General features: G+C 41.5%; 1 pseudogene; it reads left to right on the top strand.

The window, feature by feature from the left end:
• On the top strand, positions 6980 to 7486 carry WBP1LP4 (WBP1L pseudogene 4; annotated as a pseudogene).

Genomic DNA, 16100 nt, shown 5'->3' with positions numbered 1-16100 from the left:
GGGGACAGGGGGTAGGAGACCATCAAGACAAACACGTGGGTACATGGAGGGGAACAACACACACCAGGGCCTCTCAGGGGGACAGGGGGTAGGAGACCATCAGGACAAACACGTGGGTACATGGAGGGGAACAACACACACCAGGGCCTCTCAGGGGGACAGGGGGTAGGAGACCATCAGGACAAACACGTGGGTACATGGAGGGGAACAACACACACCAGGACCTCTCAGGGGGACAGGGGGTAGGAGACCATCAGGACAAACACATGGATACATGGAGGGGAACAACACACACCAGGACCTCTCAGCGGGACAGGGGGTAGGAGACCATCAGGACAAACACGTGGGTACATGGAGGGGAACAACACACACCAGGGCCTCTCAGCGGGACAGGGGGTAGGAGACCATCAAGACAAACACGTGGATACATGGAGGGGAACAACACACACCAGGGCCTCTCAGGGGGACGGGGGGTAGGAGACCATCAGGACAAACACGTGGGTACATGGAGGGGAACAACACACACCAGGGCCTCTCAGGGGGACAGGGGGTAGGAGACCATCAAGACAAACACGTGGATACATGGAGGGGAACAACACACACCAGGGCCTCTCAGGGGGACGGGGGGTAGGAGACCATCAGGACAGACACGTGGATACATGGAGGGGAACAACACACACCAGGGCCTCTCAGGGGGACAGGGGGTAGGAGACCATCAGGACAAACACGTGGGTACATGGAGGGGAACAACACACACCAGGGCCTCTCAGGGGGACAGGGGGTAGGAGACCATCAGGACAGACACGTGGATACATGGAGGGGAACAACACACACCAGGGCCTCTCAGGGGGACAGGGGGTAGGAGACCATCAGGACAAACACGTGCGTACATGGAGGGGAACAACACACACCAGGGCCTCTCAGGGGGACAGGGGGTAGGAGACCATCAAGACAAACACGTGGATACATGGAGGGGAACAACACACACCAGGGCCTCTCAGGGGGACAGGGGGTAGGAGACCATCAGGACAAACACGTGGATACATGGAGGGGAACAACACACACCAGGGCCTCTCAGCGGGACAGGGGGTAGGAGACCATCAAGACAAACACGTGGATACATGGAGGGGAACAACACACACCAGGGCCTCTCAGGGGGACAGGGGGTAGGAGACCATCAGGACAAACACGTGGATACATGGAGGGGAACAACACACACCAGGGCCTCTCAGGGGGACGGGGGGTAGGAGACCATCAGGACAAACACGTGGATACATGGAGGGGAACAACACACACCAGGGCCTCTCAGGGGGACAGGGGGTAGGAGACCATCAGGACAAACACATGGATACATGGAGGGGAACAACACACACCAGGGCCTCTCAGGGGGACAGGGGGTAGGAGACCATCAGGACAAACACATGGATACATGGAGGGGAACAACACACACCAGGGCCTCTCAGGGGGACAGGGGGTAGGAGACCATCAGGACAAACACGTGGATACATGGAGGGGAACAACACACACCAGGGCCTCTCAGGGGGACAGGGGGTAGGAGACCATCAGGACAAACACGTGGATACATGGAGGGGAACAACACACACCAGGACCTCTCAGGGGGACAGGGGGTAGGAGACCATCAGGACAAACACGTGGGTACATGGAGGGGAACAACACACACCAGGGCCTCTCAGCGGGACAGGGGGTAGGAGACCATCAGGACAAACATGTGGATACATGGAGGGGAACAACACACACCAGGGCCTCTCAGGGGGACAGGGGGTAGGAGAGCATCAGGACAAACACGTGGGTACATGGAGGGGAACAACACACACCAGGGCCTCTCAGGGGGACAGGGGGTAGGAGAGCATCAGGACAAACACGTGGGTACATGGAGGGGAACAACACACACCAGGGCCTCTCAGGGGGACGGGGGGTAGGAGACCATCAGGACAAACACGTGGATACATGGAGGGGAACAACACACACCAGGGCCTCTCAGGGGGACAGGGGGTAGGAGACCATCAGGACAAACACGTGGGTACATGGAGGGGAACAACACACACCCGGGCCTCTCAGGGGGACAGGGGGTAGGAGACCATCAGGACAAACACGTGGGTACATGGAGGGGAACAACACACACCAGGGCCTCTCAGGGGGACAGGGGGTAGGAGACCATCAGGACAAATAGCTAATGCATGCAGGGCCTCATACCTAGGTGATGGGTTGATGGGTGCAGCAAACCACCATGGCACACATTTACCTATGTATCAACCTATACTTTCTGCACGTGTATCCCAGAACATAAAATAAAATTTAAAAAATATATACACTGATTCATGATCTCCTTTCTCTCCTTCTGAAACACTCTTTAAAACTTTTTAGCATTTCCCCCTCTGTCTTCCATGTCTCCTAACTACATGTTTCTTATTTTCCATTTCCTTATTCCTGTGTTCATTTTGGATAGCCCCTTCTGACCTATATTACAGTTTACTAGTTCACTCTTCAACTGCTTCTAACATACTAATATTCTGTTAAAACCATTCATTTGGGTTTAAATTTCAATTATGTTATTCTCTATGGACATTCTATTTGTTTTCTTTTAATCTTCTTGGCCATTCTCTAGAGTTTCCTGTTCCATTATGATATTTTTAATTTTTTGTTTTACTTTAAACATACTAAATATAGTTATTTTATTTTCTGTATCTGATACTTTCAATAACTGCAGTCTTCGCTAGTCTTTTTTCTGTGCTCTTGCTCATAGTTTTTTTCGTTTGTTTTCATGATTAGAAAAACAGAGAGAGAAGAAGGAGAGTAAAGGGAGGAGGAGGAGGAGGAGAAAAGAAGAAAGCAGAGAAGAAGGGACAGAGAAAAAAAGGAAGTTGGTTCTAACGTTTCTCTAACAACTGTCTTCAGTGAAACGCTCCCACCTTGTGGATTTTTAGGTTATTGAAATTAACCAGTCTTCTGGGTGCAGCACACCAACATGGCACATGTATACATATGTAACAAACCTGCACTTTGTGCACATGTACCCTAAAACTTAAAGTATAATAAAAAATAAAATAAAAAGCTACACAAATTAAAAAAAAAAGAAATCAACCTAATTCCTAGATTACCACCTCTTGATTCAAATGCTTTAAATCTAGGCTTTTCATCTGAGTCTTTCTTTTTAGTTATTCTGTTTATCTTCAAAACACTCCTGCTTTGAATCATTCAAAATCTACCTCCCTCCCTCTGTTTGACTACCATCAATTTTTTTGCTCATTCCTAATGCATTAATCTATTAGCTGTGAATATCCAAAAACCCTCATTTCACTGAATCTTTGACAGACCCCTTTGCATCCTCTTGTTCTTCTAATTATTTCCTCAGACACTTTATGTTCTCTTTTCTTTACAAGCATGCCATAGTTTATATACAATGTGTGTATTGTTTTTATATATACCTATATATAGCCTCTTTTTAAAAGCACTGTACACCATGCTTTGAAATATATTCTAAAATCAGGTAGCATGAAAATGGAAACATAACATACTAAAACATATGGGATGCAACAAAAGCAGTTATAAGAGGGACACTTATAGCAATAAATGCCTACATCAAAAAAGAAAAAAAGATCTCAAATAAGCAACCTAATATTATGCCTAAAGGAGCGAGAAAATTAGAGAACAATACAAGCCCAAAGATAGCAGAAGGAAACAAATAACAAAGATCAGAGCAGAAATAATATAATAGAAACTGAAAATTTCAATAAAAATAAGAATTGTTTTTTGAAAAGATAAACAAAATTAACAAATTCTTACATAGACTAAGAAAAAAGAAAACAAACTCAGAAATGAAAGAAGAGACATTAAAACTGATACCACAGAAGTTAAAAAATCATAACATACTACTATAATTAATTATTCACCAGCAAATTAGATAACCTAGAAGAAATTGATAAACTCGTACCAAAACTGAATCATGAAGAATTCAAAATTTAGAACAAATCGTGAATAAGGAAATTAAATCACCAATGAAAGGTCTCTCATAAAAGAAAGACCCAGGATTGAATGGCTCAGTGGCTGGATTCTAACAAACACTTAGATAACTAACACCAATCCTTCTCAAACGCTTCCAGAAACATGAAGAAGAGGAATACTTCCAAATTCATTTTTCAAAACCAGCATTACCCTGATACCAAAACCAGAGAAGGACACTATAATAAAAATAAATTGCAGACCAATACTCCTGATGAACTTAGATGGAAAAACCCTCAGCCAAATATTAGCAAATATTATTTTTAAGAAAACACAGCAAAAAAATTCACCATGCTTAAGTGGGATTCATCCCTGGGAAGCTTATTAGTCTTATTTGATTCGTGTAATCAGAAAATTTCTATGTCTAGTGAAGAGAAATGAGAGCAATAGAGACTCATAGCACCTCAACAAATTTCCAGGCTTGAGCCAGTTAACAAATACAAGTCCTTCAAATACAAAAAGACTGTGAAAGAAAATAGAACAGATCAATGAAACTAAGAATTTGTTCTTTGAAAAGATAAACAAAACTGACAAACCATTAGCTAGACTAGAAAAACGAGAGAATACTCAAAGCAATAAAATCAGAAATGAAAGAGGAAATATTGCAACTAATACCACAGAAATATAGAGGATCATAAGAGGCCACTATAAACAATTACAAGCCAACAAATTGGATAACCTAGAAAAAGCAGATAAATTTCTAGAAAAATGCAACTTACCTAGAGAAAGTCAAGAAGAAAGATAAAATCTGAACAGAACAATACTGAGTATGGAGAGTATATCAATAATAAAACATCTCCCATCAAAGAACATCCCAGGACCAGAAAACTTCATTGCTGAATTCTAACATTTTAAAAAATAATAATACAATCCTTCTGAAATTCTTCCAAAAACTTGAAGGAGAAAGAGTATTTCCAAACTCATTTTAAAAGATCAGCATTATTGTTTTTTTCTTAAAGTGATGTTCCCCTTCCTGTGTCCATGTGTTCTCATTGTCCAATTCCCACCTATGAGTGAGAACATGCACTGTTTGGTTTTTTGTCCTTGTGATAGTTTGCTGAGAATGATGGTTTCCAGCTTCATCCATGTCCCTACAAAGGACATGAACTCATCATTTTTTATGGCTGCATAGTATTCCATGGTGTATATGTGCCACATTTTCTTAATCCAGTCTATCATTGTTGGACATTTGGATTGGTTCCAAGTCTTTGCTATTGTGAATAGTGCTGCAATAAACATACGTGTGCATGTGTCTTTATAGCAGCATGATTTATAATCCTTTGGGTATATACCCAGTAATGGGATGGCTGGGTCAAATGGTATTTCTAGTTCTAGATCCCTAAGAAATCGCCACACTGACTTCCACAATGGTTGAACTAGTTTACAGTCCCACCAACAGTGTAAAAATGTTCCTATTTCTCCACATCCTCTCCAGCACCTGTTGTTTCCTGACTTTTTAATGATGGCCATTCTAACTGGTGTGAGATGGTATCTCATTGTGGTTTTGATTTGCACTTCTCTGATGGCCAGTGATGATGAGCATTTTTTCATGTGTTTTTTGGCTGCATAGATGTCTTCTTTTGAGAAGTGTCTGTTCATATCCTTTGCCCACTTTTTGATGGGGTTGTTTGTTTTTTTCTTGTAAATTTGTTTGGGTTCATTGTAGATTCCGGATATTAGCACTGGGGCCTGTTGTGGGGTGGGGGGAGGGGGGAGGGATAGCATTAGGAGATACACCTAATGTTAAATGATGAGTTAATGGGTGTAGCACACCAGCATGGCACATGTATACATATGTAACTAACCTGCACGTTGTGCACATGTACCCTAAAACTTAAAGTATAATTTAAAAAATAAATAAATAAAAATAAAAATAAAAAGGCAAACAAGGACACTATAAGAAAAGTATGGGCCAACCAATATCCCTGATGAACATAGATACAAAAGTCCTCAAAATAAGTACTAGCAAACAGAATTTAACAACATATTAGGAGAACATTTACCATGATAAAGTGGATTTATCCTCCAGATGTTTCAGCAAACACAAATCAAATGTGATAAACCACATTAACAGAATGAAGGATAAAAAAATAGCTATCTCTATATATGCAGAAAAAGCATTTGACTAAATTCAAAATCCTCTCATGACAAAACCTCTCAACAAATTGGGCGTAGAAGGCATGTACCTTAACACAAAACAGGACATATATAACAAGCTCACAGCTCACATCATACCCAACAATGAAAAAGTGAAATCTTTTCTGCTAAGATCAAGAACAAGACAAGGATATTTATTCTCACTACTTCTATTCAACTTATTTCTGGAAGTCCTAGCCAGAGCAATTAAGCCAAATAAAGAAATAAAAGATATTCAAATTGAAAAGGAAGAAGTAAAATTGTCTCTGTTTGATGACATATTATATATAGGAAACCCTAAAAACTCCACCAAAAAGCTATTAGAAATGATAAATGAATTCAATAAAATTGCAGAATTCAAAATCAATATACAAAACTCAGTAGTTTCTTTACACTCACAACAAACTATATGACAAAAATAAAGAAATCAATCTCATTCACAGTAGCATCAAAAAAACTGTATTTTTTTTGTTTAGGAGCACATTTAGGATTGTACTTAGGAGTACATTTAACCAAGGAGGTGAAAGATCTGTATTCTGAACACTATAAAACATTGATGAAAAATTGTAGATGACACAAATACATGGAAAGATATTTTATGTTCATGGGTAGGAAGAATTAATATTCTTAAAATGTCCTTACTGCCCAAAGCGATTTATAGGTTTAATGCAACATTTATCAAAATTTCAATGTCATTCTTCACAGAAATAGAAAAAACAATTTGAAAATTTATATGGAACCACAAAGGACCCTGAATAACTAAAGCACTCTTGAGCAATAAGAACAAAGCTGAAGGCCTCACAATCTGACTTCAAAACGTATTACAGGAAAAGAACAAAAGAAGGAAGAAGAGGGTAGAGGAGAAGTGCAGCAAGGGTGGAGGGAGGTGCCCGCGCTGGGTCGGAGGAGCAGGAGGAGTAAGGAGGGAAGACTCCTGGGTGGCATGGAGCTCTTGCACCTCTAGGCACTGCCCAGCCCTGTGTCAGCCAGGGCTGAACCCCCACAGGATAAGGAAGCCTGTGTGTGTACCAACAATCAAAGCTACATCTGTGACACAACAGGACACTGCTATGGGCAGTCTCAGTGTTGTAACTACTACTATGAACATTGGTGGTTCTGGCTCGCGTGGACCATCACCATCATCCTGAGCTGCTGCTGTGTCTGCCACCACAGCCAAGCCAGCCCTCAAGTCCAGCAGTAGCAACATGAAATCAACCTGCCTGCCTATCCAGAAGCCCGCAATTACTCAGTGCTACCATTTTATTTCACCAAACTATTTATTACCTTCTTATGAGGAAGTGGTGAACTAACCTCCACCTGTTTCCCTCCCTGTCTGTCCATTGTGGATGAGCTCTGAGCCCTGTTTTCCTGTGAAGATTCTTTGAATTGCGGCCATTCTATTCACATGAACTCTCACATCTGGAGCACAGATGGCCCTCTCAAGGTAATTTATTGTATGCATTGACTGTTTACCAAACAAATGTCTTACTATGTACTCAGGTATATTCAGCAGCATTGTCGACTGCAGTCCCCTATGCTTGCCAGAAGATACTGTATTCAAAGTAGAAGTTTCACAGTGATGAGTAATCACTGCAATTTTCCCATTGCTCCATGGACTCTCGGAGGCCGGTGTTCTGTTCCCTGTAAATAGAGATGTACTCTGAACCTTTCTGCCTCCCTCAGCTGTTCCTAGTCCTTGGTATCAGCCCCTGGAGATGTCCACAACCACTTAGGACAAAAGGCAAAAGTGGAATTTCAGACAAAACTTTGATAGGATCTTCAGTGATAAACTTGGACTAACTGTGGCCCAGGTATCAGCACTCCCAAGAATTGCCAGGAGGAAGCTTTGGCAGACACCACAGGTATGGCAAGGCCTATCTCCCTCTGCTGAATCCAACAGGGGCAAGCAAGCTGGCATGTGGCTTGAGGTGACCCGAATATGTCAGCACCCCTCAGATGTCTTTCTTTGCACTTTTAAAAAAAATCTCAGAATTTGCTGGCAACATGGCCAAATAGGAACAGCTCCAGTCTGCAGCTCCCAGTGAGATCAATGCAGAATGCAGGTGATTTCTGCATTTCCAACTGAGGTACCTGGTTCATCTCACTGGGACTGGTTGGACAGTGGGTGCAGCGCACGGAGGGTGAGCCAAAGCAGAATGGGGTGTCGCCTCACCCGGGAAGTGCAAGGGGTTGGGGGAATTCCCTCCCCTAGCCAAGGGAAGCCCCGAGGGACTGTACCATGAGGAACGGTGCACTCCACCCAGAAACTATGCTTTTCTCACGGTCTTCACAATCCACAGACCAGGAGATTCCCTCCAGTGCCTCTGCCACCAAGGCCCTAGGTTTCAAGCACAAAACTAGGCAGCTGTTTGGGCAGACACCGAGCTAGCTGCAGGAGTTTTTTTTTTTTTTTCATGCCACAATGGCAACTGGAATGCCAACAAGACAGAACCATTCTCTCTCCTGGAAAGGGGGCTGAAGCCAGGGAGCCAAGTGGTCTGGCTCGGCGGGTCCCACCCATACAGAGCCCAGCAAGCTAAGATCCACTGGCTTGAAATTCTTGCACAGCAGTCTGAGGTTGACCTAGGACACTCGAGCTTGGTGGCGGGAGGGGCTTCCACATTGCCAAGGCTTGAGTAGGCAGTTTTACCCCCACAGTGTAAACAAAGCCACCAGAAAGTTTGAACTGGGTGGAGCCCACCACAACTCAGCAAGGCCACAGCAGCCAGACTGCCTCTCTAGATTTCTCCTCTCTGGGCAAGGCATCTCTGAAAAAAGGGCAGCAGCCCCAGTCAGAGACCTATAGATAAAACCCCCATCTCCCTGGAACAGAGCACCTAGGGGAAAGGGCGCCTGTGGGCACAGCTTCAGCAGACTTAAAGCATCTTTGAAAAGCCTGATGGCTCTGAAGAGAGCAGCAGATCTCCCAGCACAGTATTCGAGCTCTGATAAGGGTCAGACTGCCTCCTCAAGTGGGTCCCTAACCCCCGTGTATCCTGACTGGGAGACACCTCCCAGTAGGTGCCAACAGGCACCTCATACAGGAGAGCTCTGGCTGGCATCTGGTGGGTGCCCCTCTTGGACAAAACTTCCAGAGGAAGAAACAGGCAGCAATCTTTGCTGTTCTCCAGCCTCCGCTGGTGATGCCCAGGCAAACAGGGTCTAGAGTAGACCTAGGGCAAACACCAACAGACCTGCAGCAGAGGGGCCTGACTGTTAGAAGGAAAACTAACAAACAAAAAGGAATAGCATCAACATCAACAAAAAGGACAGCCACTCAGTGACCTCATCAGAAGGTTACCAACATCAGAAACCACAGGTAGATAAATCCATGAAGATGGAGAGAAACCAGAGCAAAAAGGCTGAAAATTCCAAAAACCAGAACGCCTCTTCTCCTCCAAAGGATCACAACTCCTCACCAGCAAGGGAACAAAAGAAAACTGGACGGAGAATGAGTTTGATGAATTGAGAGAAGTAGGTTTCAGAAGGTAGGTAATAACAAACTCCTCCAAGCTAAAGGAGCATGTCCTAACCCAATGTAAGGAAGCTAAGGACCTGGAAAAAAGGCTAGACCAATTGCTAACTAGAATAACCAGTTTAGAGAAGAACATAAATGACCTGATGGAGCTGAAAAACATGCCATGAGAACTTCATGCAGCATGCACAAGGATCAAGCACTGATTCGATCAAGCGGAAGAAAGATATCAGAGACTGAATATCAACTTAATGAAATAAATCAAGAAGACAAGATTAGAGAAAAAAGAATGAAAAGAAATGAACAAAGCCTCCAAGAAATATGGGACTATGTGAAACGACCAAATCTACGTTTGATTGCTGTACCTGAAAGTGATGGGGAGAATGGAACCAAGTTAGAAAACACTCTTCAGGATATTATCCAGGAGAACTTCCCTAACCTAGCAAGGCAGGCCAATATTCAAATTCAGAAATACGGAGAACATCACAAAGACACTCCTCAAGAAAAGCAACCCCAAGACACATAGTCATCAGATTGAGCAAGGTTGAAATGAAGGAAAAAATGTTAAGGGCAGCCAGAGAGAAAGGTCAGGTTACCCACAAAGGGAAGCCCATCAGACTAACAGCAGATCTATCAGCAGAAATTCTACAAGCCAGAAGAGAATGGGGGCCAATATTCAACATTCTTAAAGAAAAGAATTTTCCACCCAGGATTTCATATCCAGCCAAACTAAGCTTCATAAGTGAAGGAGAAATAAAATCTTTACAGACAAGCAAATGCTGAGAGATTTTGTCACCACCAGGCCTGCCTTAAAGGAGCTCCTGAAGGAAGCACTAAACATGGAAAGGAACAACTGGTATCAGCCACTGCAAAAACATACCAAATTGTAAAGACCATTGACACTATGAAGAAACTGCATTAACTAACAGCAAAATAACCAGCTAGCATCGTAATGACAGGATCAAATTCACACATAACAATATCAACCTTAAATGTAAATGGGCTAAATGCTCCAATTAAAAAACACAGACTGGCAAATTGGCTAAAGAGTCAAGACCCATCAGTGTTCTGTATTCAGGAGACCCATCTCACGTGCAAAGACACAAATAGGCTCAAAATAAAGGGATGGAGGAATACTTACCAAGCAAATGGAAGGCAAAAAAAAGCAGGGGTCGCAATCCTAGTCTCTGATAAAACAGACTTTAAACCAACAAAGATCAAAAGAGACAAATAAGGGCATTGCATAATGGTAAAAGGATCAATGCAACAAGAAGAGCTAATTATCCTAAATATATATGCACCCAATACAGGAGCACCCAGATGCATAAAGTAAGCTCTTAGAGACTTAAAAAGAGACTTAGACCCTCACACAATAATAGTGGGAGACTTTAACATCCCACTGTCAATACTAGACAGATCAACGAAACAGAAAGTTAACAAGGATATCCAGGACTTGAACTCAGCTCTGGACCAAGTGGATCCAATAGACAGCTACAGAACTCTCCACCCCAAATCAACAGAATATACATTCTTCTCAGCACCACATTGCACTTATTCTAAAATTGACCACATATTTGGAAGTAAAACACTCCTCAGCAAATGCAAAAAAAAATGGGAATCATAACAGTCTCTCAGATCGCAGTGCAATTAAATTAGAACTCAGGATTAAGAAACTGACTCAAACCCACACAACTACATGTAAACTGAACAACCTGCTCCTGAACAACTACTGGGTAAATAAAGATATTAAGGCAGAAATAAATAAGTTATTTGAAACCAATGAGAACAAAGACATAACATACCAGAATCTCTGGTACACAATTATAGCAGTGTGTAGAGGGAAATTTATAGCACTAAATGCCCACAAGAGAAAGCAGGAAAGATCTAAAATTGACACCCTAACATCTCAATTAGAAGAACTCAAGAGGCAGGAGCATACAAAAAGCTAGCAGAGGACAATAAATAACTAAGATCAGAGCAGAACTGAAGGAGATAGAGACACAAAAAAACCTTCAAAAAAAATCAATGAATCCAGGAGCTGGTTTTTTGAAAATATCAATAAAATAGATAGACCACTAGCCAGACTCATAAAGAAGAAAACAGAGAAGAATCAAACAGATGCAATAAAAAATGATAAAGGAGATACCACCACTGATCCCACAGAAATACAAACTACTATCAGAGAATACTATAAACACCTCTACACAAACTAGAAAATCTAGAAGAAATGGACAAATTCCTGGACACATACACCCTCCCAAGACTAAACCAGGAAGAAGTTGAATCCCTGAATAGACCAATAACAAGGTCTGAAATTGTGGCAGAATTAATAGCCTACCAACCAAAAAACAGTCCAGGACCAGATGGATTCACAGCCGAATTCTACCAGAGGTACAAAGAGGAGCTGGTACCATTCCTTCTGAAACTATTCCAAACAACAGAAAAAGAGGGAATCCTCCCTAACTCATTTTATGAGGCCAGAATAATTCTGGTACCAAAATTTGGCAGAGACACAACAAAAAAAAAGAAAATTTCAAGCCAATATCCCTGATGAACATCGATGCAAGAATCCTCAATAAAATACTGGCAAACCAAATCCAGCAGCACATCAAAAGCTTGTCCACCACAATCAAGTCGGCTTCATCCCTGGGATACAAGGCTAGTTCAACATACGCAAATCAATAAACATAATTCATCATATAAATAGAACCAATGGCAAAAACCACATGCTTCTCTCAATAGATGCAGAAAAGGCCTTCGAAAAAATTCAACAGCCCTTCATGCTAAAAACTCTCAATAAACTAGGTACTGATGGAACATATCTCAAAATAATAATACCTATTTATGAAAAACCCACAGCCAATACTGAATGGTGAAAAACTGGAAGCATTCCCTTTGAAAACCAGCACAAGACAAGGATGCCCTATCTCACCACTCCTATTCAACGTAGTATTGGAAGTTCTGGCCAGGGCAATCAGGCAAGAGAAAGAAATTGTCTCTGTTTGCAGATGACATGATTGTGTATTTAGAAAACCCCATGGTCTCAGCCCAAAATCTTCTTAAGCTAATAAGCAACTTCAGAAAAGTCTCAGGATACAAAATCAATGTGCAAAAATCAAGCATTCCTATATGCAAAAAACAGACAAACAGAGAGCCAAATCATGAGTGAACTCTCCCATTCACAATTGCTACTAAGAGAATAAAATACCTAGGAATCCAACTTACAAGGGATGTGAAGGACCTCTTCAAGGAGAACTACAAACCACTGCTCAAGGAAATAAGAGAGGACACAAACAAATGGAAAAACATTCCATGCTCATGGATAGGAAGAATCAATATCATGAAAATGGACATACTGCCCAAAGTTTTTATAGACTCAATGCTGTCCCCATCAAGCTACCACTGACTTTGTTCACAGAATTGGAAAAAACTACTTTAAATTTCATATGGAACCAAAAATGAGCCCGCAGAGCTAGGACAGTCCTAAGCAAGTAGAACAAATCTGGAGGCATCACGCTGTCTGACTTCGAACTATACTACAAGTCTTCAGTAACCAAAACAGCATGGTACTGGTACCAAAACAGATATGTAGACCAATGGAACAGAACAGAGGCCTCAGAAATAACACCACACATCTACAACTATCTGATCTTTGACAAACCTGACAAAAACAAGCAATGGGGAAACGATTCCCTTTTTAATAAATGGTGTTGGGAAAACCGGCTAGCCATATGCAGAAAACTGAAACTGGATCCCTTTCTTACACTTTACACAAAAATTAACTCACGATGTATTAAAGACTTAAACATAAGATCTAAAACCATAAAAAACCCTAGAAGAAAACCTAGGCAATACCATTCAGTACATAGGCATGGACAAAAACTTCATGACTAAAACACCAAAAGCAATGGCAACAAAAGCCAAAATTGACAAATGGGATCTAATTAAACTAAAGAGCTCCTGCACAGCAAAAGAAACTATCATCAGAGTGAACAGGCAACCTACAGAATGGGTGAAAATTTTTGCAATCTATCCATCTGACAAAGGGCTAATATCCAGAATCTACAAAGAACTTAAACAATTTACAAGAAAATAACAAACAAACCCATCAGTGGGTGAAGGATATGAACTGACATTTCTCTAAAGAAGACATTTATGCAGCCAACAAACATATGAAAAAAAGCTCATCATCACTGGTCATCAGAGAAATGCATATCAATACCACAATGAGATACCATCTCACGCCAGATAGAATGGCGATCATTAAAAAGTCAGGAAACAACAGATGCTGGAAAGGATGTGGAGAAATAAGAATGCTTTTACACTGTTGGTGGGAGTGTAAATTAGTTCAACCATTGTGGAAGACAGTGTGGTGATTCCTCAAGGTTCTAGAACTAGAAATATGATTTGACCCAGTAATTGCATTACTGGGTATATATCCAAAGGATTATAAATCATTCTACTATAAAGACACATGCACACATATGTTTATTGTGGCACTGTTCACAATAGCAAAGACTTGGAACCAACCAAAATGCCCATTCAGTGATAGACTGCATAAAGAAAATGTGGCATATATACACCATGGAATACTATGCAGCCATAAAGAAGGATGAGTTCATATCCTTTTCAGGGACATGGATTAAGCTGGAAACCATCATTCTCAGCAAACTAATCCAAGAACAGAAAACCAAACACCCGATGTTCTCACTCATAAATGAGAGTTGAACAATGAGAACACATGGACAGAGGGAGGGGAACACAACACACCGGGGCCTGTCTGGGGGTAGGGGCTGGGGGAAGGTTAGCATTGGGTTAAATACCTAATGTAGATGATGGGTTGATGGGTGCAGCAAACCACCATGGCACGTGTATACCTATGTAACAATCCTGCATGTTCTGCATATGTACCCCAGAACTTAAAATATAATTTAAAAAAAAATCTCAAACAACTCACTGAAGTGTCTCAAAGCTGAACAAGTTTTACCAAAATGAATCCTTCTCAGTTAACTGATCAAATGGATGAATCCTGACCCTCTGAAGTCTCTTTCCTGAGTTAGAGCAGGGAACTGCTCTGAGTGTTAACTGTTGGATTCACTGCAGTGTTCTACAATATTTTACAAGAAGATGAACAGGCAACCTGCAGACCTAAGCTTGATTCCCAAGTCACAGTCTGACCCCTGCTACAGGAGGTTACCCTCCTCAGGAAGAGATAGAAATAGGGAATTTGAAGGAATAGTGAGGGGACCAGGGAGATTTGATTGAGTCTGGTTTCCAGGTGAATTAAAAGGAAGGGTGTCATCCAGGGTTTGTTACTACAGTCAAAAGAATAAATAAATCAATGAAGAAATACCTTCATTGTCTGTGGTTTTCATGCAGATATACTCATGGAGGTTGTATCTCTCCAAAAACAGACAAATCCAAGGCTGTGAACAAGCATCCGCATTTGAATTCCATTAAACCAAAATCTATGTTGAACGAAGTGAAGTCTGTACACAGCATTGCAAATGTGAACACATTCCTGTGTGAGGCACATCACCATTTGTCAGTTATTGTGAATATGTGTATTTTTAAGCAATAAGATGCAGCTGGTCAGTTTTCTGGGCAATCTTGGTGAGGCATTTCCTGTGCTGTGGTTGTTCTCTAACCACTGTGAGAAACCCAAATAAAAATCGATCCCCCCCAAAACAAGTACATATCACAAAACCATAGTAATCAAAACAATATGACACTTGCACAAAAACAGACACATTGACCAGGGGAACAGAATAAGGAGCCCAGAAATAAACTCATGCATTTATGACCAATAAATTTTTGACAAAGGTGCCCAGAAAACGTAATGAAGAATAGACATTTGTTTCAATAAATGGTGTTAAGAAAACTAGATATCCACATGCAGAAGAACACGAATGTGTATGGTGTGTATCCTTATCTCACACCATACACAAAAATCAATTCAAAATGGATTAAAGGTTTAAACATAAAACTGTAAAACTACTAGATGAAAACATAGGGGAAAAGTTCCACAATGTTGGTTTGGTCAAAGATTTCTTGGATATCACCCCCAAAGCACAGGCAACAAAAGCAAAAATATATGGGATTGCATCAAACTAAAAAGCTTCTGCACAGCAAAGGAAACAATATGGTGAAGAGACAACCTACAAGTTGTGAGAAAATATTTGCAGAGCATACATCTGATGAAAGGCTAATCTCCAAATATATAAGGGACTCAACTCAATATCAAGAAAACAAATAACCAAGTCAAAAAATGGGCAAGGTCCTAAATAGACATTTCTCAAAAAAAATACAAATGACTAACATAAAAAAAGTTTGTCATCCTAATTATCAGGGAAATGCAAATTAAAATGACAGTGAGATGCCACTTCATACCTGTTAGAATGGCTACTATCAAAATGATAAAAGATAACAAGTGTTGAAGAGGATACAGAGAAAAGGGAACCCTCGTACA

The sequence above is a fragment of the Homo sapiens genome, chromosome 5 (assembly GCF_000001405.40).
Source record: "Homo sapiens chromosome 5, GRCh38.p14 Primary Assembly".
NCBI classification, from domain to species: domain Eukaryota; kingdom Metazoa; phylum Chordata; class Mammalia; order Primates; family Hominidae; genus Homo; species Homo sapiens.
Note: the sequence above shows the minus strand (reverse complement) of the source record. Positions and strands in the feature narration are given on the sequence as shown.